This window comes from Homo sapiens, chromosome 16 (assembly GCF_000001405.40).
Source record: "Homo sapiens chromosome 16, GRCh38.p14 Primary Assembly".
Lineage (NCBI taxonomy): Eukaryota > Metazoa > Chordata > Mammalia > Primates > Hominidae > Homo > Homo sapiens.
Window position 1 is genome coordinate 20422491 of NC_000016.10, and position 25069 is coordinate 20447559.

General features: G+C 43.6%; 1 protein-coding gene and 1 long non-coding RNA gene across 5 annotated transcripts in view; one reads left to right on the forward strand and one right to left on the reverse strand.

The window, feature by feature from the left end:
- The window catches only part of ACSM5 (acyl-CoA synthetase medium chain family member 5), a 31803-nt gene extending 12957 nt beyond the window's left edge, over nucleotides 1-18846 (forward strand). For 2 of the 3 annotated variants that reach the window (NM_017888.3, NM_001324371.2), the window contains exons 6-14: nucleotides 1426-1579; nucleotides 5298-5377; nucleotides 7188-7311; nucleotides 8503-8583; nucleotides 8730-8831; nucleotides 14562-14689; nucleotides 14778-14877; nucleotides 17310-17429; nucleotides 17854-18846. In NM_017888.3, the coding sequence (NP_060358.2) occupies nucleotides 1426-1579; nucleotides 5298-5377; nucleotides 7188-7311; nucleotides 8503-8583; nucleotides 8730-8831; nucleotides 14562-14689; nucleotides 14778-14877; nucleotides 17310-17429; nucleotides 17854-17937 (973 nt within the window). In that variant the 3' untranslated portion in view covers nucleotides 17938-18846. The remainder of the gene's footprint in view (nucleotides 1-1425; nucleotides 1580-5297; nucleotides 5378-7187; nucleotides 7312-8502; nucleotides 8584-8729; nucleotides 8832-14561; nucleotides 14690-14777; nucleotides 14878-17309; nucleotides 17430-17853) is intronic. The other variant, NM_001324372.2, reaches the window with a different exon arrangement.
- Nucleotides 18847-18902: 56 nt separating this feature from the next.
- Nucleotides 18903-24789, reverse strand: LOC105371119 (uncharacterized). Of its 2 annotated transcripts, none has more exons than XR_007065019.1 (4): nucleotides 24377-24789; nucleotides 23503-24031; nucleotides 19736-19898; nucleotides 18903-19096 (listed from the first exon to the last, which is right to left on the reverse strand). It is a non-coding gene; the product is annotated as an uncharacterized LOC105371119 (long non-coding RNA). The 2 variants fall into 2 exon arrangements; XR_950898.4 differs by having other exon boundaries at nucleotides 23503-23621; nucleotides 24377-24781.

Consider the following 25069-nt stretch of genomic DNA (forward strand, 5'->3'; position numbering starts at 1 on the left):
GCTATAAACACTGGCATGTGAGTATCTGTTAGAGTCTCTGCTTTTACTTCTTTTGGATATACATGCAGAAATGAAATTGCTGGATCATATGGTAATTCTATGTTTAATTTTTTTTGAGAAGCATTGGGTATTTTGAGCAGAGGAGTGACATAATCTAATATGTTTTTTAAAGGCTCACTCAGGATGTTGGGTTGACAATGTAACTGTAGGGGAAACAGGTAAAGAAGATGACCAGTGCATTAAGAGGCAAGCATGGTAGCTTGCCCGGGGAGCAGTAGTGGGAGAAGAGATGAGATTCTGAATGTATTTTCAACCTAGACCCAATAAGGCTTGCTGACAGAATCAGTGTGGAATGAGAAGGAGGAGTCAAGGAGAGCTCTAAGAGGAATGGCCTGAACAACTGGAAGCACTAAATGATGGGGGAAGAACTGTGGGATGAGCTGTCTGGTGGCAAGAAAACAGTTTGTTTATGGAGTTGTCAATTTGAGAGTCTTCTTAGAAATCTCCATCTCCTTGTTAAAAGTGGAGATGTTGAGTGGGCATTTGGATACACATGTCTGAAGTTAATGAGAAAGATTCATGCTGAACTTATCAGTGTAAAGATGGTATTTCATACCATGAGATGGGATGAGATCAGCAAAGTGTAATATAAACTGAAAAGAGAATGGGTCTCAGGACTGAGTGCCCGAGGCATTTCTGCACTGAAGGGGAAGACCAGGAGGACTCAGCAGAGGAGACTGAGAAGGGAACAGCCAATGAAATGGGGAGAACCAGGAGTGCGCGTGTCCCAGGATTCAAGTGCATGACCGCTTTTTATGTCTTCCATGTTTGCAGACACTGTTTCCCATTCCTGGGATGCTCCTGCTTCTCTGCCTCACCTATATAATCCCTATTTATTCTTTATGTCTAACTCAAGTGTCACTTCCTCTACCAGAGCATTTCTCAGAAACCCATGTCCATCATTGCTCTGGGTTAGGTGCCTATTCTCTATAATTGCACAAGGCTTTGTGTTTAGCTCTATTAAAACATGCTCTCCAGGGGCTTCCTATAAGGCCCTCAAAGCAAGACTAATCGTTCATTTCTAGATCCCTAGTGCTAAGTCCAGACTAAATGCTAAATAAATGTTGGCTAAATAAAGTGACCTTAGCACAGAGTATTGAGGTTAATTTTTTCCCCTTATATATCACATCCACTGGACTGTGAACTTTCTGGAAACTCTTTTTGCTTCTGTATTCTTAGCCTAGGGCATAGGTACATGGAAGATGCTGGTTGAGACAATAGTTGACTTGATGGTCTTGTTCAGGTTTCACAAGTATAAGTGAGTACCCACTGAGCAGGGCTCCAAATGTGGTGATATAGATAATACAATCCTTTTTAAAGGTAGAGTCATTGCCAAGGTTACTGACGTTCTCTAATTTTTGGCAGACGGTGGGTGGCCTTGACCGAATCTGACATCTTCTGGAACACGACTGACACTGGCTGGGTGAAGGCAGCCTGGACTCTCTTCTCTGCCTGGCCTAATGGATCTTGCATTTTTGTGCATGAGCTGCCCCGAGTTGATGCCAAAGTTATCCTGAATGTAAGAGGAAAAACCAACAATACCCCATATGTGTTGGGTACAAATGAGATGAGTGGGATATAGATTTCAGACTGCAGGAGAAAACACATAAATCAGTGAATTTAAGGCTTCTTTGGTGTGGCTCCCTGGCCTTCCATAATCTGGTTCCTGACCACCTGGTTCCCTTCAATCATTGCCTATGCTCTAGCTACATTCCTAGATGTAAGACCATTTTGTTGCTATTTCTTTTGCATGGGGTGCCCTTGTTTCCACCACTTTCTTCCCTATGCTCCTGCCAAAACCCTAGGTATTTGTCAAACCCTTAGGCAAAATCAGTCTATGCCTCAACTCCAAATGCTACTGTCCATGGTTCTTAACATGAGTAGTTGGCCCAACTAGAGAGTCCTGGTGACTCCTGCTCAGCCTCTCAGGGTCTTCTCATGGGGAGGGAGGAGATTGGTGGCCCCAGTCAAGACACAGGTCACCTTTCTTCCACCCCCCACATCCTGTCATTCCTTAAAATGTCAGAGGACACTTCTGCTCATATTATTTGTACTGAGATAAGCTGTATCACATGGTAGCTAACTGCATAGGCTGTGCCATCAGTCAAAGAGTCAGACCTGGACTCTGATCCTACACCTTTGATTCGCTAGCTGTGTGGCCTTGGGGAAGCTGCTTAATCTCCTGAGCTGCAGTTTCAGCCTCATCTGTAAGAAAGGGATACATTTCTCTATAGATTTGCTGCGAGAATGAAATGATACAAGGCAAAGGGGCCAGCACATCATAGGTTCTTTTTTGAAATAATTTTTAATTTTTGTGGATACATAGTAGGTGTATATATTTATGGGGTACATGAGATGTTTTGATGTAGGCATGCAATGCGTGAAAATCACATCATAGAGAATGGGGTATCCATACCCTCAAAGCATTTATCTTTTGTGTTACAATCTAATTATACTCTTTCAGTTATTTTAAAATGTACAATTAAGTTTTTATTGACTATAGTCACCCTGATGTGCTTTAAAATAACAGGTCTTATTCATTCATTCTATTATTTTGGTACCAACTAACCATCCCCACCTTTCTCCCAGCCCCCGACTACCCTTCCCAGCCTCTGGTAATCATCCTTCTAATCTCTATTTCCATGAGTTCAATTGTTTTGACTTTTAAATCTCACAAATAAGTGAGAATATGTGAAGTTAGTCTTTATGTGCCTGGCTTATTTCACTTAACATAATGATCTCCAGTTCCATCCATGTTGCAGCAAATGACAGGACCTCATTCTTTTTTATGGATCCATTGTGTATATGTACATCTTCTTTTTCCATTCATCTGTTGATGGACACTTAGGTTGCTTCAAAACATAGTAGATTCTTTTTTTAAAAAAAAATTATTTTCATAGGTTATTGGGGAACAGGTGGTGTTTGATTACATGAGTAAGTTCTTTAGTGGTGATTGTAAGATTTTGGTGCACCCATCACCTGAGCAGTATACACTGCACCCAATTTGTAGTCTTTTATCCCTCACCCCCTTCCCACCATTTTCCCCAAGTCCCCAAAGTCCATTGTGCCATTCTTACACCTTTGCATCCTCATAGCTTAGCTCCCACTTATGAGGGAGAACATAAAATATTTGGTTTTCCATTTCTGAGTTACTTTACTTAGAATAATAGTCTACAATCTCATCCAGGTCCCTGCGAATGCCATTAATTCATTCCTTTTTATGGCTGAGTTGTATTCCATTATATATATTTATATACCACACTTTCTTTGCCCACCTGTTGATTTATGGGCATTTGGGTTTGTTCCACATTTTTGCAATTGCAAACTGTGCTGCTATAAACATGTATGTGCAAGTATCTTTTTCATATGACTTCTTTTCTTCTGGATAGATGCCCAGAAGTGGGATTGCTGGATCAAATGGTAGTTCTACTTTTAGTTCTTTAAGGAATCTCCACACTGTTTTCCACAGTGGTTGTACTAGTTTACATTCCTACCAGCAATGTAGAAGTGTTCCTTGTTCACTGCATCCATGCCAACATCTATTATTTTTTGATATTTTGATTATGGCCATTCTTGCAGGAGTAAGCTGGTATCACATGGTGGACCAAATATAGTAGATTCTTAACCCATATTGATTGTTATCATCATGATCAAACTCATCACCATCATTATCCATGTAGTGCTTGATCAGCCAATGTATGGACCTTCTCCTTGCACTGTCCCCAGCTCTGATATAGTGTTTTCATTATCTATTGCTATGTAATAAATTATACCGAAACTTAGCACTTTAAAACACAAGCATTTATCTCACAGTTTCTGATGGTCAGGAAGCTGGAGGTAGCTTAATGAGGGGTTTTTGGAGCAGGGTCTCTCATGAGGTTGCAATCAAGAGGTCAGCAAGGTATGCTCATGTTCATAGCAGCATTAACAATAACTAAAAGGTGAAAGCAACACAAGTGTCCATCCACAGATGAATGAATAAACAAAATGTGGTGTATATGTACAATGGAATATTACCCAGCCTTAAAAAGGAAGGACATCTTGTTGTATGATATAACGTGGATAACCCTTGAGGACATTATGCTAAGTGAAACATGCCAGTCATACAAGGACAAATACTGTATGATTCCACTTACATGAGATTCCAAGAGTAGTCAAATTCATAGAGACAGAAAGTACAATGGTGTTTACCAGGAGTTAGGGGAGAGATTAATGGGAAATTATTGTGTAATGGGTACAGAGTTTAAGTTTGAGAAGATAAAAATAGTTCTGGAGGTGGATGGTAGCGATGGTTGCACAACACTCTGGAAATGTTTAATCCCACTGGACTATACACTTAAAAACCGTTCCAATGGGCAAATCCTATGTTGTGTGTATTTTGCCACAATAATTTTAAAGAAGATATTTGCTAGGACTGCAATCATCTTAAGGATTGACTGAAGCTGGAAAATTGCTTAAAAGTTCACTGGTGGCCGGGCACAGTGGTTCATACCTGTAATCCCAGCACTTTGGGAGGCCAAGGCGGGTGAATCATGAGGTCAGGAGTTAAAGACCAGCCTGGCCAGGATGGTGAAACCCCGTTTCTACTAAAAATACAAAAATTAGCCGGGCCTGGTGGTGGGCACCTGTAATCCCAGCTACTCAGGGGTCTGAGGCAGAGAATTGCTTGAACCCGGGAGGCAGAGGTTGCAGTGAGCTGAGATCTTGCCACTGCACTCCAGCCTGGGTGACAGAGTGAGACTCCATCTCAAAAAACCAAACAAAAAACAAAACAAAAACCTCACTGGTGGTTTTTAGTAGACTTCAATTTCTCACTGGGTGTTTGCTAGTCTCCAGTTTCTCACTGTGTGCACCTGTCCGTAGGATGGCTTGAGCATACTCAAAACATGGTGGCTTGCTTCCCCCAGAACAAGGGATCCAAGAAAGGCAGAGAGAAAGAATATCCAAGACAGAAGCCATAGTCTTTGTATAACCGAATCTTGAAAGTGGTATTCATCACCTTGGCAGTATGCCATTGCTGTCACAGACCCACTTTGGTATGAGGTGAGAGGGGATCCTCCAAAGGTGCACATGCCAGGAAGTAGGAGTCACTGGACACCATCTTGGCTGCTGGATTCCACACATAGTTTTCAGCTTCTCTGCTTTGGTACTGAGACTATAAAGATGCATTTGGCTCCATCTTCATGGTCCCACCCCAATGATTCTAAGGACATCTTTCACCCTTTGTTTTTGTTTAGACTCTCTCCAAATTCCCGATAACCACCCTCTGCTGTGTCCCAACCATCTTTCGGCTGCTTGTGCAGGAGGATCTGACCAGGTACAGCCCGTCTATTTCGTGCTTTGAGGGCCTAAGTATGTGAATATATAGCATGGGTATCCACACACACAACTACCCTCTCATTCCAACTCTCTTTCTTTCTCTGTCTCTCCCTCTATATATTTTTCTGCCTCTCTCTTTGTCTCTCTCTCACACACACATTTATACACGTACACATTGACAAGTCAACATACCTGTAAATCTCACAGATGCCCCTCAAGAACAAGCTTCTGGCCCCCCAAAATTTGCATCCAGATGGAACTAAATAGATTTAAGGCAGACTGAAATTTTAGCACCTGAGATAGGCTTCTCCTCACACCATACACCCATGGGCTATTCTGTCAGCAGTGTGTCTGCTACTTCTGTGAGGCGAGAGAAATGATTGGAAAATTGTTAGCCACCTGTGGAGTGGGGTCTGTGGCCAGGGCCCTCAGGTGTGGTGAAACTAACAAGCCCGCACCGCAGTAGATGCCCCAACTCTCAGCCTCAGACTAACCCCAGCCAACTGTTCTCTGAGCACATGCCATTGGGCACCCAAGAGAAAGGGACAAGGCACTGATGATGGCTCCATCCTGGGTGAAGCCAAAGCAACATCTTCTAGCAGAACAGGGCTGGTTGCTGGGGTATATGGAGAGAGGCCCACTGTCCTTCAGTATCCACCAACCCTGACCTGTTCTCCCTCTTTTGTCCTCCCGTAAGTCATGAGGAGTCGTCCTCTCATCTTTCCTAATCACATGAATCTACCCACCAAGTGTCCAAAAAAGGGAGTTCTTACATGCTTCTAAAAGTGAATTCTTCTCCAATGTAAGAAAATCATCCCATTCATTGATCTGATGTGTGCATCTCCACATGATGATTTTGGCTGAAAGCAAGCTCCAAGTACCTCGTTAAGAACAATGTCGTTGAATGCTCTTTGGTAATAATAAGTAACTTAATCAAGCCAATTTGATCTCCCCTCTCCTCCAAGATTAAAAATGTACTTGCAGTCACTGTTCTTTTTTATAATTTGGATGATTTGTTGAACAGAGAGGGCATTTTGCAACATAATTAATATCTGTAGGAATTTTTGGGATTCTTAGGGGTCTAATTTTTATCTTTTCCATTTTCTTTTCTTTCCTTTCTTTTCCTTTTTCTTTTATTTTTATTTATTTATTTATTTTAGAGACAGAGTCTTGCTCTGTTGCCCAGGCTGGAGTGCAGTGGCATGATCTCAGCTCACTGCAACATCTGCCTCCCAGGTTCCAGCTTTCCTCCCACTTCAACATTCCAAGTAGCTGGGACTACAGGCATGTGCCACCATACCCAGCTAATTTTTAGTATTTTTCGGTAGAGACGGGGTTTTACCACGTTGACCAGGCTGGTCTTCAACTCCTGAGATCAAGCAATCTGCCCACCTAGGCCTCCCAAAGTGCTGGGACTACAGGTGTGAGCCATGGTGCCTGGCCTATCTTTTCAATTTCTAATTCATCTATCCTTTTCAATCAGATTACTGTCCTAACCAATTTATTATCAGTTTTTTTCCAACTAAATTATTTTGGCCAAGTTACCTGGAACTCACCATATTATGCCAAAACCTATTATATGAGCTTCTGATTTTATCTCAAACTCAGATAGGATGGATCTTTTAAAAATTATCTGTCCATGAGGAGCATGGTTGCAAAGCCAGTGGGTGGACTCACTTAGAGAAGATTAAAAAGCAGGGGCATCTACCCTCTAGTGCCTGTGGTGTTTGCATCTGGGCAGTGGCACCAGAGGGCGGGGTGATATGAAGATCCTGACATAGGTGGCCTTGTTTTCCTGTCTGAGAAAGGTACCAGTTTCAGAGCCTGAGGCACTGTCTGACCGGAGGAGAGGCCCTCAACCCTGACGTGAGGGAGAAGTGGAAACACCAGACTGGTGTGGAGCTGTACGAAGGCTATGGCCAGTCTGAAACGGTGAGTGCTGGAGGGGCCAGGTCCCTACCCCCCAGGTCCCCTCGAGAGCTTCCTGCCTCTCCGGCTGTCACCTCCCTGAAGCTTCTCAGGGACCACCCTTCCCCCAGGGGAGAAGCTGATAACAAAATTCCATCAGCTTTCCTTCCCTTTTGATTTCCATATGTTCTCACTTATAAGTGGGAGCTAAGCTATGAGGATGCAAAGACATACAGAGTGGTATAAAAGACTTTGGAGACTCAGAAGGAAGAAGGTGAGAGGAGGGGCGTGAAGGTAAAAAAACTACGTATTGGGTATAATGTACACTACTCAGCTTACAGATGCACTAAAATCTCAGGATTCACCACTATAGAATTCATCCATGTTACAAAAAAACGCTCGAACCCAAAAAGCTATTGAAATACACACACACACACACACACACACACACACACACACTACTTATAAATTAAAAAAAGGTAATTTAAAGTACTTTTACAATTATACCATGACCAGCAAACCAGCCCTCACTGCTGAAGGCATTGTTTGTCTCCACCAAGACAGTCTACATCTGCCACTGTTCAGAGTCCAAGATTCTAAGCAGCGTCCTCTATAGTCATCTAGGAAGAGATCTGGGGATCAACTGAGTCTTTTGGCTTAGAGATGGGTTAAGTTCTTTATGTTTGAGTGCCCACTGGAGTGCCCCATAATTGTTTGTTAACTATGGAAAGAAAAGAAGAAAGACAGGCAAGAAAGAGGGAAGAAAATAGGAAGAAAATGAAGAAGGAAGGGAGGGAGGAAATAAAGGAAAGAGAAAGGAAAAGAAGGAGGAAAGGAAGGGAAAAAGATGAATGGAAGGAAGGAAATAGGGAACAAAGAAGAAGGGAGGAGAGAGGAAAATGGAGAATGAAATAACGGGGAAAAGAATGAAAAAAAGGAGGAAAGAAAATGAAGGAGGGAAGGAAGAAAACAGGAAAGGGGAAAGAAAGGAAAGAAAGAGGAAAGGAAGGAGTGAGCAAGGAAGAAAAAAGAAAAGAAAGAAGGGAGGAAGAATGGAGAGAAATGGAGAGAGGAGAAGGGAAAGAAAGAAGAAAGTGAGGGAGGAGAAAAAAGAGGATGAGAGAAAGAGTTATCAGGCAGGGTGAGAGAAAGGCATGGCCCAGGAAAGAAGCTAAGTGGAAAGGCTCTTCTTTATCTGTACTGCGTTCTCCCCAGGTTGTCATCTGTGCCAATCCAAAAGGCATGAAAATCAAGTCTGGATCCATGGGGAAGGCGTCCCCACCCTACGATGTGCAGGTAGCAGCCTCCCCCAACTTCTGGCAAGGCCTGGCATGGAGAGGAGAAAGACACACAGGCCTGGTTGGCACGGGCTGCTGGGCTGCTGGGAGAGGCCCAGGGTGTAGACACTCACGTATGCACCTCTGTGATGATTTCCTTACCAGATTGTGGATGATGAGGGCAACGTCCTGCCTCCTGGAGAAGAGGGGAATGTTGCCGTCCGTATCAGACCCACTCGGCCCTTCTGTTTCTTCAATTGCTATTTGGTAAGAGACGGGGAACAGCCGTTCTCATGACAGTGACTGTGTGCTAAGCATTGTGCACCACACTTTGTAAATATCTATTTGTTTAATCCTTACAATGACTGCATGAGGTAGGTTGCTACTATTATTAATAAAGTTCTGTTATTGATAAGGAAGACTATTATTGATAAGGAAGCTACTACAAAGGGGAAGTGACTTATCCAGCATCATGCAAATAGTACAGGCAGGACATGGGATTTAAATGTGGGTGTGTCTGAAAGCGTAAACATGACATGAGGGCAGCACTGTTGTTTTAATGAGGTGAAAATCGAGGTACAGTAAAGGAAAGGAGCTTCTGAAGGTCAAACTGCAGCCGGGTGCAGTGGCTCACATCTGTAATCTCAGCACTTTCAGAGGCCGAGGCAGGTGGATCACCTGAGGTCAGGAGTTCAACACCAGCCTGGTCAGCATAGTGAAACCCCGTTTCTACCAAAAATACAAAAATCAGCCAGGCATGGTGGCGCACGCCTCTATTCCCAGCTACTTGGGAGGCTGAGACAGGAGAATTGCTTGAACCAGGGAGGTTGCCGTGAGCCAGGATCATTCCACTGCCCTCCAGCCTGGGTGAGGGAACGAGACTCCGTATCAAAAAAAAAAAATAATAATAATAATAAAATAAATAAATACATAAAGGTCAAACTGCACTATTGTGTCAGAGCTGTCTTCAGGATTCTCTTTGTGGTTTGCTAGCAGGGCACAAACCTGGGATTTCAGTCCAAGTTTCTGGGATAATTCAGTAACTGCTTCTCTTTTGTATTCATCTTGGGTGGTGTTTATGTCGGGCTTTCTTTTCTTCACAGCTTTCTCTATAAAACTCTCAGACCTGGCTGTGCATTAGAAACACCTGGCAAGCCTCAGTTATTGCTGATGCTTGAGCCCCACCTCAGCTTAATTAAAATCAACATTTCTGTTGGTGTGGATCAGTTTCCCAGGCGATTCGAATGTCAAGCCTGAGAGCCACTGCTTAATAGAAATGCCATCTCATGTGTCTACTAAGCTGTCAATCAGCTACAGAATTAGAAGGAGCAGAAATAAATCAGTCCATTTCTTTTCAAAATGTTGCATTTTAGTGGTTTTTCTGTCACTACAAGAGAAATAATCTTCTACTTTATTTTGTTTAAAATCACAGAAACTTACAAAATCCCACAACATAGTAATCATGCCAAGCTGAGATCATGTTAACATTTAATGTATTTTCTGCTAATCAGTCTTGGAAGCAATAGTAAATCTTTGACCCCACTGAAAAAATGCATTCATTCATTATTTATTGTCGACTTCGTGCCGCTCGGTGTGGAGCAGGACTCTGGTACTTAGTGTGGAGCAGGACTCTGGTACTTACTGCACTTGTACACTTTCTTTCTGGTTGTGAGATTGTTCCACTGAGTGTACTAAAGTAATTTGAAAAGTTATTTGCTAGACAACAATCTAGTTTTTTTGACTGTTTCTTTCCGTCACCTGTACCAACAGTTAGTTTTCTTTCCAGATCATTCTTTTTTTTTTTTTTTTTTTTTTTTTTGTGACAGTGTCTTCTCACTCTGTTGCCCAGGCTGGAGTACAGTGGTGCGATCTTGGCTCACTGCACTTCCACCTCCTGGGCTCAAGCAACTCTCGCGCTCCAGTCTCCCAAGTAACTGGGACTACAGGCGCACACCACTTCACCGGGGTAATTTTGGTATTTTTAGTAGAGACAGGGTTTTGCCACCTTGGCCAGACTGGTCTGGAATTTCTGGCCTCAAGTGATCTGCCCGCCTCGGGCAACTCCCAAAGTGCTGGGATTACAGGCATCAGCCACAGTGCCCGGCCCAGCTCATTCTTAATTAAGAGAAAAATATTAAATGTCTTCGTGAGAATCAGGAAACATGTGAAAATTATTATAGAGGATCTCAGACCAAAATTGTTCTGTGAGTTTTGATAAGCTAAGCTCATTCTCCCCCTACAATAAACATAAACATTTCAAATTCACGTTGGTCATTCCCATTTAGCTGAAATTGCACATGTCAGTTAAATGAATATGCCCGTGTCAACTGTATATCCCATATAAGGAATGTGCTTATTTTCCTAGGGAAACAAATTATCAAATGCACAAATATTTGTTATAGTGCTGGCTGTTTATAACAGATAAAAAAGGTGGAGGGACTATCTAAATTTCTAATATCAGAAATTAGTTATGTAAAGGATTATATTATAGCATTGTGAACAAAAGCAAAAAAACAAAAGAAAAGGAGAAAAAGAAGAGAGAAAAAATTTTAAAAAAAGAATCCAGGAATTTGTTCAAATGCATAATATCACCACCACACAGAAATATTATGCAACTATTTAATACAATTTTTTTTTGGAAGCAGGGTCTCCTTCTGCCACCAAGGCTGGAGTGCAGTGGCACAATCATGGCCACTGCAGCTTTGACTTCCTGGGCTCAGCTGATCCTCCCACCTCAGCCTCCTGAGTAGCTGGAACTACAGGCACATGCCACCACACCTGGCTAATTTTTTTTTTTTTTTTTGTAAAGATGGGGTTTCACCATGTTGCCTAGGCTGGTTTTGAATTCCTGGGCTCAAGTGATCCACCTGCCTCAGCCCACCAAAATGCTATGATTACAGGCATGAGCCACCACTCCCAGCCTATAGGAGTTCTTAATATATTCTTGATATCGGTCCTTTGTTTGTTTTAAGAGTTGCTAACATCTTCCTCCTTGGTTGTAGCTTATCTTTTCACTTTCTTTCACTTTCTTTAAGCTATTTTTGTTGAACAGAAGCATTTATTTCCATGTCATCAAATCATTAAGTTTTTAAATGTTATGGATAGTGCTTTTTGTGTCTTATAAAATCATTTTCAACTTTAGGGTAGAAAATACACATATTCAATAGTTTCTTCCAATAGTTTTATAATTCTGCTTTTGACATTTAAGTTTATAATCCATCTGTGGTTGATGTATGCATGATATGAGATAGGGGTCTATTTTATTTTTTTCTATATGAAAAGCCAATTTGTTGAATAAATCCTCCTTTTCCCAGTTATCTGTCATGCTAATTTTGTCAGATATAAAAGTTTAATATAGGCCAGGTGTGGTTGCTCACGACTGTAATCCTAGCACTTTGGGAGGCCAAGGCTGGTGGATCACCTGAGGTCAGGAGTTCGAGACCAGCCTGACCAATATGGTGAAACACCCTCTCTACTAAAAATACAAAAATTAGCTGGGTGTGGTGGCGGGCACCTGTAGTCCCAGCTACTTGGGAGGCTGAGACAGGAGAATTGCTTGAACCCGGGAGGCAGAGGTTGCAGTGAGCTGAGATCACACCACTGCACTCCAGCCTGGGCAATAGAGTGGGACTCCATCTCAAATAAATAAATCATTTTTTAAAAGTTTGATATAGTCATACATAGGCTTTGGCACTTTCTTGTATTTCCTTGATCACTTACTCTGTCTCTGTACTGATACCATAAAGTCTTATCCACAAAAGCATTACCATAAGTCTTCACATGTGGGAGAACAACTCTAACCTTGTTATTCAACTCATTTAGAAGTGTTTTACCTATTCTTAGCCCTTTGCTCATTCATTTGTATTTTAGAATCAACTTGTCAAGTTCCTTGGAAAATGTTTGCTAGCATTTTGATTAGAATTGTATTGCCTATAAAACAACTTAGGGATAATTGACATCTCTATTAATTAAGTCTTTTTTGTTTTGTTTTGTTTTGAGGCAGAGTCTTGCTCTGTCACCCAGGCTGGAGTGCAGTGGTGTGATCTTGGCTCACTGCAGCCTCCGCCTCTCGGGTTCAAGTGATTCTCCTGCCTCAGCCTCCCAAGTAGCTGGGATTACAGGCGCCTGCCGCCACACCTGGCTAGTTTTTGTATTTTTAGTAGAGATGGGGTTTCTCCATGTTGGCCAGGCTGGTCTTGAACTTCTGACCTCAGGTGATCCACCTGCCTTGGCCTCCCGAAGTGCTGGGATTATAGGCATGAGCCACTGCACCAGGCCGATTAAGTCTTTCTTTCACTTTATTTATATCTTCTTTAATGTTGTGTAGAGTTTTAAGTTTTCTCCATACACATCTCAGAGATTTTGTGTTAGATGTATTTTTAGGGTAGCTTATATTTTTTCTTTTTTCTCAGAAGGTCCTTGTTGAATTGAGATATAATTTACCTACAGTAAAATTCACCCACGTTAAGTGTGTAAGTCAATGACTTTTAACACATGTCCGCCCCTGTGTAACTGCCACCACAGTCGAATAGGGAACATTTTTCACTCCCTTGACAGGCAATCCTCTCCACTCCAGACCCAGCGATTGATACATTGTTTGTCGTCAGTATATAATAATTTTGCATTTTTAAAAAAGAACTTCATGTAAATGGAATCACAAACTATTCCAGTTTATCTGTCTGGGTTCTTTTACTCAGTATGATGTTTCTGCAAGTCATCTGTGTGGTTTCATGTATTTTTATTGCTGAGTAGTAGCTTTTTCTTTGAAACTTTGAGAATCAGAGTTTCATTGTTTTTCTCTTTCCTCTACTCTTGCCCCACACCAATGAGCTTTTTGGTGAGCCCTTCTCCCACCCTCCCTTTCTTTCTTTCTTTCTTTTCTTTCCTTCCTTCCTTCCTTCTTTCCTTCTTTCTTCCTTCCTTTTTTCTTTCTTTCTTTTCTTTCTCTTTCTTTCTTTTTTCTTCATTCTTTCTTTCTTTTTCTTTCTTTCTCTTTCTTTCTCTTTTCCTTCATTCCTTCTTCTTCCTTCCTTCCTTTTCTCTTTCTTTCTTTCTTTTTCTCTTTCTTTCCTTCCTTCCTTTCTTTTCCTTCTTCCCTCCCTCCCTTCCTCCTTTCCTCCCTCCCTTTTCTTCTCTCTTTCTTTTCTTCCTTCTCTTCCCTTCTCTTCCCTTCCCTTCCCTCCCCACTCTCCTCTCCCCTCCCCTCCCGTCCCCTCCCCTCCCCTTCCTTTCCTTTGTTTCCTACTTGAAGTCTTGCCCTGTAGCCCAGGCTGCAGTGCAGTGGCACAATCTTGCAATCTCATCCTGTAGCCCAGGCTTGAGTGCAGTGGTGCAATCTCACAGCCTCGCCCTATAGCCCAGGCTGGAGTGCAGTGGCACAATCTCAGCTCACTGCAACCTCTGCCTCCCAGGTTTAAGCAATTCGCCTGCCTCAGCCTCCCGAGTAGCTGGAATTACAGGCATGCACCACCACACCCAGCTAATTTTTTTGTCTTTAGTAGAGACAGGTTTTCACTATGTTGGCCAGCTGGTCTCGAATTCCAGACCTCAAGTGATCCACCCACCTCAGCCTCCCACAGTGCTGGGATTATAGGGATGAGCCACCACACCCGGCCTAGCCCTTCACTTTCTACCCTCAGTGATTCCTGAGCACAAAGAGTATTCATGTGTTCTCTTGTCCTAAAAACCACAGCCAGTGGCCCTGTGCCCACCCTCCTGCTTTCAACTATGCTTTCTAGACCCCCTTCTAAGGATGGTGGTGGGTGACTGCCCTTAACCATTGGCTGGCAGCTTGATTCCAATCAAAAGAGGGAAATCCCACAACTAAACAGGGCCATAACTCCCTGTCCATTGGGGAACTCTGGGCAGCCGGGACTTTAGGAACTGCTGAACTTTCTGTTGAGTGGTCTCCAGCTTCCTACAGGGGGCTACTGGGGCAGTAACTGGCCTTAGCAGTTGTTCCCAGAGGGTCCTTCACGGGTTGTCTTTGTCTTTCAGGACAATCCTGAGAAGACAGCTGCATCAGAACAAGGGGACTTTTACATCACAGGGGACCGAGCTCGCATGGACAAGGATGGCTACTTTTGGTTCATGGGAAGAAACGACGATGTGATCAATTCTTCAAGGTCAAGCTGTCTGCACTTTCCTCCTTCCTTTGAAATTTCATGGGGGTTGAGGGAAGCCCACTTGGAAGAGTTTGTTTTTCCCTTCCAGCTACCGGATCGGGCCTGTTGAAGTGGAAAGTGCCCTGGCAGAGCATCCTGCTGTCCTGGAGTCGGCTGTGGTCAGCAGCCCAGACCCCATCAGGGGAGAGGTAACCAGTGCACCCAAGAACATGGCCTCCTGCTTCTGTACCTATTAGCACCCAGCAGAACAAGCAGGAAGGCTCAGATTGTCCTGTATTTCACCTCCATCCTTGTGCCACAAAGTTGAAATGCCACCATCAGACACACGTTGCCTTCATGTCTTTAGAGATACAATTACTCTCTAAAGGGACATAATGGGAAAACACCAACACTTTGCTTTTAAATGGACACAACTACATCCCAGAGAGGCTGGCTATGGGGCAGGAGATCTTGGGGGAGGTGCAGGCTCTGTTATCCATCCTGTCTAATAAAAAGTCTTTTCTATTTGCAGATGAGGACATAGCAAGCACACCAGTAATAGTTGCTGATGGCTGTAACCTAAGAGGGATAGAATATGTATCCAAAATGACCTACATATACCAGAAAGATGGGCCAAATTTAATAAGCTGGGCTTTCATAGGAGAAATCCTTTTTTTTTTTTGAGATGGAGTCTTGCTGTGTTGTCCAGGCTGAAGTGCAGTGGCATGATCTTGGCTCACTGCAACCTCCGCCTCCCAGGTTCAAGTGATCTTCCTGCCCCAGCACCCCCCCCAGTAGCTGGGATTACAGGCACATGTCACCACACCTGGCTAATTTTTGTATTTTTAGTAGAGACAGGGTTTTGCCTTGTTGGCCAGGCTGGAGGTCTTAAACTCCTGACCTTAGGTGATCCACCCACCCCGGCTCCCAAAGTGCTGGGATTACAGGCGTGAGTCACCGTGCCCGGCTAGGAGAAATCTTTCTGTGGGTCCCAGAGGAATGCATATTATGGGAAAGATCAGCTAACAGGCAGACTTAGGTACTTTTCACTGGCTTACATCCAACATAATCCTAAAGCACAACAGTTACCTTTTGAAAGTTAGTGCAACATTAGCCTGCATTCTCAGAAGCATCAAGACCACAGGAGAGATTCTCAAAGTCTGGTTCTTGGACTGCTTGCAACTGTATCATCTGAGATTCTTGTTTAAAATATAGATTTGTAGACCTAAAGTCAGACTTACCAAATCATGATTACTGGGAATGCAGCCCAGAGAATCTGCATTTTAGCCAGCCATTCTTGGCCAAGTGATTCCCCTCTAAAATCCAAAGCCATTAATGTATAATAAGGGAGGTGTGGAGTCCCATTGATGTGCTGAAGAAATCATACCTCAAACGTATGCCTAGTTCTGCATGCCGTGAGTTAACTGGGACTGTGACAAATGGCTGTGTGCTCAAACTTAATCCATGTATGGTGCTTAGAACTGAGTCTGGTGTGTAGAAAGTGCCCAACACATAAGCCGGACACGGTGGCTCATGTCTGTAATCCCAGCACTTTGGGAGGCCGAGGCGGGTGGATCACGAGGTCAGGAGATCGAGATCATCCTGGCTAACACAGTGAAACCCCATCTCTACTAAAAATACTAAAAATTAGCCAGGCGTGGCGGTGGGCGCCTATAATCCCAGCTACTCGGGAGGCTGAGGCAGGAGAATGGCGTGAACCCAGGAGGCAGAGCTTGCAGTGAGCCGAGATCACCTCACTGAGCTCCAGCCTGGGCGACAGGGTGAGACTCTGTCTTAAAAAAAAAAAAAAAAAAAAAAAAGTGTCCAACAAATGTTTCGTAGTTACAGTAGTAAGAGTAAGAGGAAGCTCTTTCTAAAAGCATATCTGTCTGAACATGAAATGATAGTGGCCTTCCTCCCTGTGGGAAGTATGCAAGGACAGTGAGCTACCCCTTTAATAGAATACTGTTAACAGATAGGAATGCTGGAATTAATAAGCATCCAAGTGACCTTCCATTCCTAACAGAAACTATGTTTGTTGTGCTTGAGTCTGGGACACTTCCTCCTGCCTGGCATAAGACAGCCTGCAGGAAAGTTGTGGGCAGAGAGACCCAAGATGCAGAATGTCCCTCGGGATGTCTGGAACAGAAGTGGTGCAGTTCAGGGTCTGCTGATTGCAAATGTTCATCCACGCAGACCCCCAAAGACCTAGTTCCCCTTGCAAGTGCCTGCATTTTCCTCAATCCCACCTGTTCAAACTCATGCCTACCTACCTTTCTCATTAGGAAAATCTGGAAGAAAATGGCCCTAGGAGTTTATGAACCTCTTTTCTCCAAAATATTTGCTTCTTAAGAGAAGCGATGTTGGCTTCAAATGGTGTCATTCCAAGTATGGGGAGTAATTTGAGAAAGAGGTAGGAGTTTGAAATCATCCCAGAAAGGTCAATCCTCCTAATAGTCACACCTGGAAGGGCCAGCAAAAGAAAAATTGATGTTGTTTGTGTCATTGGCTGTGCCCAAAAAAAACTAGTAGAACTTTCATGGTGCAAAGGTAAATGTAGGCACTTATTCAAGCCTCACTTAAGGAGAAAAGAGTTGTTATACGAGGCCTGATCTTTTCTGGGTATTTTGTTTTCCTGCAGGTGGTAAAGGCATTTATAGTCCTTACTCCAGCCTACTCCTCTCATGACCCAGAGGCACTAACGCGGGAACTCCAGGAGCATGTGAAAAGGGTGACTGCTCCATACAAATACCCCAGGAAGGTAAATATCAGGGTTTCCAGGGCACAGTGATCTGGGAATCAGATGGGCACGCTCTGCCTGGGCTCCCACTCAGAGCCAGGCCCTGTGCCAGGCACTGGGGATATGGAGAAACTTGTAACCCTGGCTGCTGCTTCAGCTTTTTTCTGTATTTCTTCACTTGGATTCTCCCCAAAGCACATTTTGTTCCTACTCTAAGAACAGCCTGATCCCTACCACAAATCAGATACAAGAGGTAGTGCTCAAATGCTGTCAAAATGATCCTGTGCTCCAGGCTCCAGCTGTTTTGCTTCTGGCCATTTAGGGGGAAACCCTGAATCAGGGACGCTTTCCAAGGACAGGCAGACAGTATTGTCTCTTTCAAAACAAAAGTCTTTTTGAGAAATGATGATTTCCAAGTGTTTTTTGTTTTGTGTTTGGTCACTAGGTGGCCTTTGTTTCAGAACTGCCAAAGACGGTTTCTGGAAAGATCCAAAGGAGTAAATTGCGAAGTCAGGAGTGGGGGAAATGAGGTGCACCCCAGGAAGGCCCCGTAGACCTCCGAAGACTCCACAAGAAACTAATGGATCACTGGTCAGTCCCCATGGGGAGCATCATCTCTTCGACCCTAAAGATGTCAAAGGTGTGCAGCTTCCAAACGGCATCCCCAGGATCACTGGGCAATGCTGGAAAGAGCAAAAGAATATCATTGGCCCTGATCACATAGATGCTGCGCCGCCTAGCAAATGCTTGGTGGTTCGACTTCTCCCTCTGTCTGGGGGCAGGCTCAGCATCTGCCCACTGGTCTCACTAAGAGCTTTCAGATTTCCCTCCATAGGACAGGTTACCATAGACTTGGGGCACTTGTGGGTACTCATTTTCTGCCAGTGGGAATGTAAAGGCTTCATCCTTTGTATGTAACCATTTGGCAAAAGTATGCAGGAACATAAAATAAAATATCCTTTAGCTCAGAAATTCTATCTTCGGGAGTCACCACAAAAGAAAAAAATCAAAATGCAGAAAATGTGTGGTGCACTAAGATGATCACACAGCATTAAAACTAAAAAAAAAAAAGAAAAAATTAACAATTAACATCCAAACAACAAGGAAATGATTAACAAAATTGTAGTAGATTAACTCAATTACATATGATGTAGCCACTAAAATATTTGAGAGCAGTTTAGTATGTCTTGGGAAAAGTGTAAGCTATATTAATTTTAAAAATCAGAGCAAAAATATTCATACTGGAGAATCCCAACTCTGAAAAATAAAGGGAAAACTGTGGTTAATTGTAATCCTCCTGGAGATTGAGGAGGGAGGGAGAGAAAATAATGGATGGTAGTTTTTCTTCTTCCTTTTTCCATTACATTTCTGTATTTTCCAAGTTTTTGTACGAAGCACATACAACTATTTTAATGAAAAAGTTATGTTAAAGAAAGCACACTCTGCTTCATGTCTAGTTCTTCCTCCACATACTCATACATCATCCCCAAAGACTGCTGTATTATGTCTGTATTAGTCAGCATTCTCCAGAGAAAGAGAAGCAATAGGACATATTTAGACACAGGAGAGGGGATTTATGATGGGAATTGGCTCACTCGATTTTGGAGGCTGAGAAGTTCCACAATCTGCCATCTGCATGCTGGAGACCCAGGAAACCCCGTGGTATAATTCCATCTGAGTCCAAAGACCTGAAAACCAGAAGAGCCAATGTTATAACTCCCTGTCCGAGTGCAAAGGATCGAGAACCAGGAGCTTCACCGTCTGAGGACAAGAAAACACAGATGTTCTAGCCCAAAAGGAAGGAGCAAATTCCTCTTTTCTCCTTTTTCTCCTCTTCATGCCCTAATGGATTGGATGATGCCTGCCCACGTGGGTGAGGGCAGATTTTCTTAGTCTATGGCTCTATCTCTAATATCACCTGGAAACACCTCCCAGAGACACCCAAAAGTAATGTTCACAGCTATCTGGGGACTCTTAACCCAGTCAAGTTGACACCTAACATTAACCGTCACAATGTCTTATCCAGGAGGGGCATAAAGACGTGCAGCCACAGCTCAGGCCTGCAAACAGGAAAGGGTGGTTCTGGGAGCAACCCTGGAGGAAAAGCAGCAGATGGAAACTGAAGCAATCCCAGTGCTGCTGACCCCACCCCCAGCACCTCCACACCCTCCAGGGAAAATTCAGTGAGCACCTACTCAGTACTGAGCTCTGAGACTGCAGTGATACACCAAAGCCAGCCTAGTCCCTACCTATGTGAGTTTTCTGGGGCTGCCATAACAAAGTACAACAGACTGCGCCATTTAAACAACAGAAATTAATGTCCTCACCGTTGTGGAGGCTGGAGGTCTAGGATCAGGGGTTGGCAAGGTTGGTTTCATTCTGAGGATGTTTCCTTGGTTTGTAGATCGCCGTCTTCTCCCTCTGTCTTCACGTGGTCTTTCTTCTGTGCATGTGTGTCTGGGGCCCAATCTCCTCTTCTTCTAAGGACACCTATCATGTCAGATTGGATTAGGGCCCACCCTCATGACCTCACTTTAACTTAATCACCTCTTTAAAAACCTTGTCTCCAAAGACAGTCACAATCTGAGGTACTGGGAGGAACTGGGGTATCTGGGGTTAGGACTTCAACATAAGAATTTGGGGAAACACATTTCAGCCCAAATCCTTGTGGAGTTTAGTCTAGTAGGAAGGTCATTATTACTTATCACAGAATAATGCAAGTAAATGTACAATTGTAATGCCATGAAGAAAAGAATACATTTAAGACACAGACTGGAGGAACTGATCAAGACTCAGGGGACTGAGGGTATCAGGGAGGCTTCTATAAGAAAGTCCCTGGACTGGGTGCAGTGGCTGATGTCTGTAATCCCAGCACTTTGGGAGGCTGAGGCGGGTGGATCACCAGAGGTCAGGAGTTCGAGACCTGCCTGGCCAACATGGTGAAACCTCGTCTCTACTAAAAATACAAAAATTAGTCGGGTGTGGTGGTGTGCACCTGTAATTCCAGCTGCTCGGGAGGCTGAGGCAAGAGAATTGCTTGAACCCGGGAGGCAGAGATTGCAGTGAGCTGAGATCACGCCACTGCACTCCAGCCTAGGTGACAGAATGAGACTTCATAAATCGGCTCTGTCTAGGCAGTGGGCAAGGCGAACCCACTGAGCAGTTACAATTCCCTTCCATCAAGCCCACCTGCTGGCTTTATCAGCAGCCTTTTGTCATACACAGGCTGGAGGTGAGTGAAGCTCCAAAGTCAAGTTGGGATTACTTCTGAGCATGTCATGTAACACCCTCTCATTAAACGGTGGTTATCTGTTACCCTGGTCTCCACTTGGAGCTTCAGCCAAGATTCTGAGACAACAGAGGAAGTCCCATTTAACATTCTCTTTCATGGGTGTCATAGCTCATTGCTATTGCTTATTATTTTAGGTTTGTTTTGCCTGTCTTTCCTAGTAGATTGTGGACTCTTCTAGATCATAGGCTAGATGATAGTCTTGTCCGTCTTCCCAGTGCCAATATCAGGACCTGCTGCCTAGTAGGTATCAGTAAATAGTCATTGAATGAATGAATGAATGAATGAATGAATGAAAAATAAGATACTAATTGAGGGGAATAAGCAGCTGAAGAGGCGTCAAGCAAGAATTACACCTGAAGACCGTTCACCTCTTTTTTCTTTCCAAATGAATATATCTGTTTATTTTCTTGAGTGCTGAAAAATTCTTAATAGAAACCTAACAGTTCTATCTTGTACACAGGCAGGTGACTTTCCCTCTCTAGGCCTCTTTTTCCACATCTCTATATTGGGGGCTGGAGTGTAATACTAGACCTACTTTCCCCAGCCTTTCCATTGCTGTGGACTCCTTTCTATCATTCTGCCATCATGTTTGGAAAGATTTTCTCTCAAAGTTCATACTTCTTCCAATCCACTATGTCCATCAGAATTTGAGGTGGTGTCAGCTTTTATTGGGTAATGACGCTTGTATGTTAGCTATTAATTTTATTTTATTTTTCTTGTTTCAGTTTTTATCTTGGTTTTGATAAATAATCCTTAGCTAGAAAGGGCCCAACCTCCTATTGTGCAATGTGGTAAATCACAGCAACAACTTTTGGTTTTTTTCTTTTTAGAGGGAGTCTCACTCTGTCACTCAGGTTGGAGTGAAGTGACATGGTCTCGGCTCACTGCAACCTCCTCCTCCCGGGTTCAAGTGATTCTCCTGCCTCAGCCTCCCGAGTAGCTGGGACTACAGGCATGCGCCACCATGCCCAGCTAATTTTTTTATTTTTAGTAGAGATGGGGTTTCACCATGTTGGCCAGACTGGTCTCAAACTCCTGATCTCAAGTGATCCACCCACCTAGGCTTCCCAAAGTGCTGGGATTACAGGCGTGAGCCACCGTGTCCAGCCTCACAAGCAACATCTTTAAGGTAAGGAGAGAATCAAGGAAGTCCAAGATATGCCAAGATGGGAACACTGATCCTTTCATTTCAGGGTTTCTGCCTGAGAATCCACAGCTCACCTTATACACTTCCAGTAATGAAGAGGATTATGAGGGTGGTGGTGGTGATGATGATGATAGTAAACCACTACCACTGGTTGAGCTCTTTCTTAACTGTTGAACTTCAGTGTGGGCTTACTAGACATTATCTCATTTAAGCCCCGCAAAAAGCAATAAAGTAGGTATCTTTCATTCATCCCTTCATTTAGCAAAAAATGATTCTATTCCTACTCTGTACCCAGCACAGTTCTAGGCACTGAGGATACAGCAGTGAATGAAAGAGACAGAAACCCCTGACTTCTGGAAATGGCAACCTTGTGAAAAGAGGGATAACAAACAAAGAACTATTAGGTTGGTACAAAAGCAATTGCGGTTTTTGCCATTCCTTTTGATGGTAAAAACCGCAATTACTTTTGCACAAATCTAATTTTAAAAATTAGAGTATGTCGGACAGTGTCAGTGCTAAGGAGGAAAATAAAGTACAAGTAGTGAATAGGGACTACGGAATGGTGGTGCAGGATTTTAAATAGGGTAGCCAGGAAGGGGTTTGCGAGGACCACGTTTGAGCAAACCGAAAGGTGAGGGAGCGAGCTGTGCAGATGTGGGGGTCGGGGAGGACACTGTCCCAGAGACAGAAGAGCAGGTTCAAAGGCCCTGAGACAGAAACAATCGCCTGGTGATCCCCATTTTACAGAAGAGAGATCTGAGGCTCAGAAAGATGGAGTCACTCATCCAAACTTGCACAGCTGTAAGTGGCAGAGCTGGGATTCGAATGCCAGGCCCGATACCACCAAAACCTGCATTTGTTTCTCATTTTCTCATATTTTTCAATTCAGACACTGAGGATGTAGGTGTTGGGGCATCGGCAGAGTGCTTAAGAGCTAGACGTGATGTGAACCAGACCTGGGTTCAGGTTTTGTGGTGCCACTTACCTCCTTGGGTGGCTGACTTGAACTGTCTGAGCCTCAGTTTCCACATGCTGAATTGGGGATAATAATAGATAACTGCTAGGGTTATAGAGGTGGTTGAACGAAACACCTGCACAGTTTGTGGCACACTAAATGCTCTCTCAATAAATGTGTTTTTGTTGTTGTTTGTTTTTTTTGTTGTTTGTTTTTTTTTTTTGAGATTGAGTTTCCCTCTTGTCCCCCAGGCTGGAGTGCAATGGCGCTGTCTCAGCTCACTGCAACCTCCACCTCCCAGGTTCAAGCGATTCTCCTGCCTCAGGTTCCTGAGTAGCTGGGATTACAGGTGCCCACCACCACACCCAGTTAATTTTTAAATTTTTTTTAGTAGAGAAGGGGTTTCACTATGTTGGCCAGGCTGGTCTCGAACTCCTGACCTCAGATGATTCACTCACCTTGGCCTCCCAAAGTGCTGGGATTACAGGTGTGAGTCACTGCGCCCAACCAATAAATGTTATTCCTAGTTACTATTACTCAGTCTACAGCCCCATTTTCTGGAGGGGACATTAAGATTCTGCACCCCAGAAGACTGGTGAGTTTCCCACCTTCATGCAAGGGGTCTCTGGGTGAGTTGCCTCGTGAAAGCTCCTAATAACCATTGAAATAGCAGTTTCTTTCCAAAGCACTAATTATGTACCTGGTATTTATCATATGCCTCGGCTCCTCAAACTGCAGCAAACAAACTCCATGGAAGAGAAAAAAATGGGACTCCAGAGACTTGAAACCACGGCCACTTGTCAGATGCAGCCCCCAACTCTGAAAGTGAGAAGCAGAGACAAAGTTATCTCCTGAAGCACATGGATACTTTTGAGCAGGTTTTTCAGATCAAACATAAGGCTTTGCAGAAGTCTAGCACTTTGCATTGTTCTCCACATCTAAGAGTCTTAGGGGAGCAGCATCCCACCCCTCTGGCAGCCGGACAACTGAGAAGCCTCCAGAATTGTCTTACTCAGGCTTTACCATGACCCTACCAGATAGATGCTATTTTTATCTCCATTTTGTACAGGAGGAAACTGAGGCACAGTGGGTCAGTGTGTGTGTTCTTTTGGTAAGTGGTACAGCCGAGATTTAAAATGGGTCCTCTGATGGCAATTCTCAGGCATTGTCTCTTGCTCCAGGCTGCCTCCAAAACCTTGGCTCCATCCAGCCAGACCACCAAAGACTTCCTGAGACAATCAGAGGTGGAATGTGATAAAGAAAATCTGTTTTTCCCGCGATGATTCCTGACTGAAAACCCCCTGCCCTGGGAAATTCTGAGCCCCCACCACGGAGTTCTGCTCCCAGCATTTCCCCAGCAACTCCAGCACTTTTTCTATTTTCCCCCAACATTGAATCCCCACTGTGGGTCAGATTCTAGGGACACAAAGGTGGCCAGCTGATTGTGCACAGCCTCCAACAGTGACCATTTCAAACCATTTTCTTTTAAAATGGCTCTTTGCCGAAACACGGTGTTCCCTATGAGAAGGACACTGGACTTTGAAGTTAGATTTGAGTCCTGTTGTAGCACTTACCAGCTGCAGGAGCTTAGCCAAATTTCTAGTCCTCTCTGAGCCTCAATTTCCTTATCTATAAAATGTGGCTCTGGATACCTCTCTTGTAGAGTTCTTGTTTAGATTACATGTGAGCACTTCTATAAAACACTGAAGACATGAGCTAGCCGTTATTCTTTATAAACAGTCATCAGGAGAATTTTGATTTTCCACCTCACAGATTTCCCACAGGAATGTGCTGTCCTGAAATGTGTCTAAAGGTCAACATTTGAAAAACAGAAAGAATGGAAAAGAAAGTCAGCAAAGTCCAGCATCATGACTTGGCAGTGTCCCCAGTGGCCAGGTGCAAAGGAGCACCCAGAGAGGTGTTTTCAGACCACTGTAAATAGTGTGAGTGCTATTTAGGACTTACACACACTCAGACACATGCACACACACACAAATATAGATACAGCCACACACATCTGCAGTTTCACTGCCACACATAGACACTCACACATGCAAGCACACACAAATATCTAGTCACACTTCTAGACACTCACACACATGAATACACACAGTTACACTTACAATCTTATGCACATGCCAAACTCATAAACAGATACATAGACATACACTTAACTACAGAGCTACATATACATGACAGTCACACACATAGTTACATACACAGTCTCACACATACATTCACACACATCCAAATCTACCAACACACAT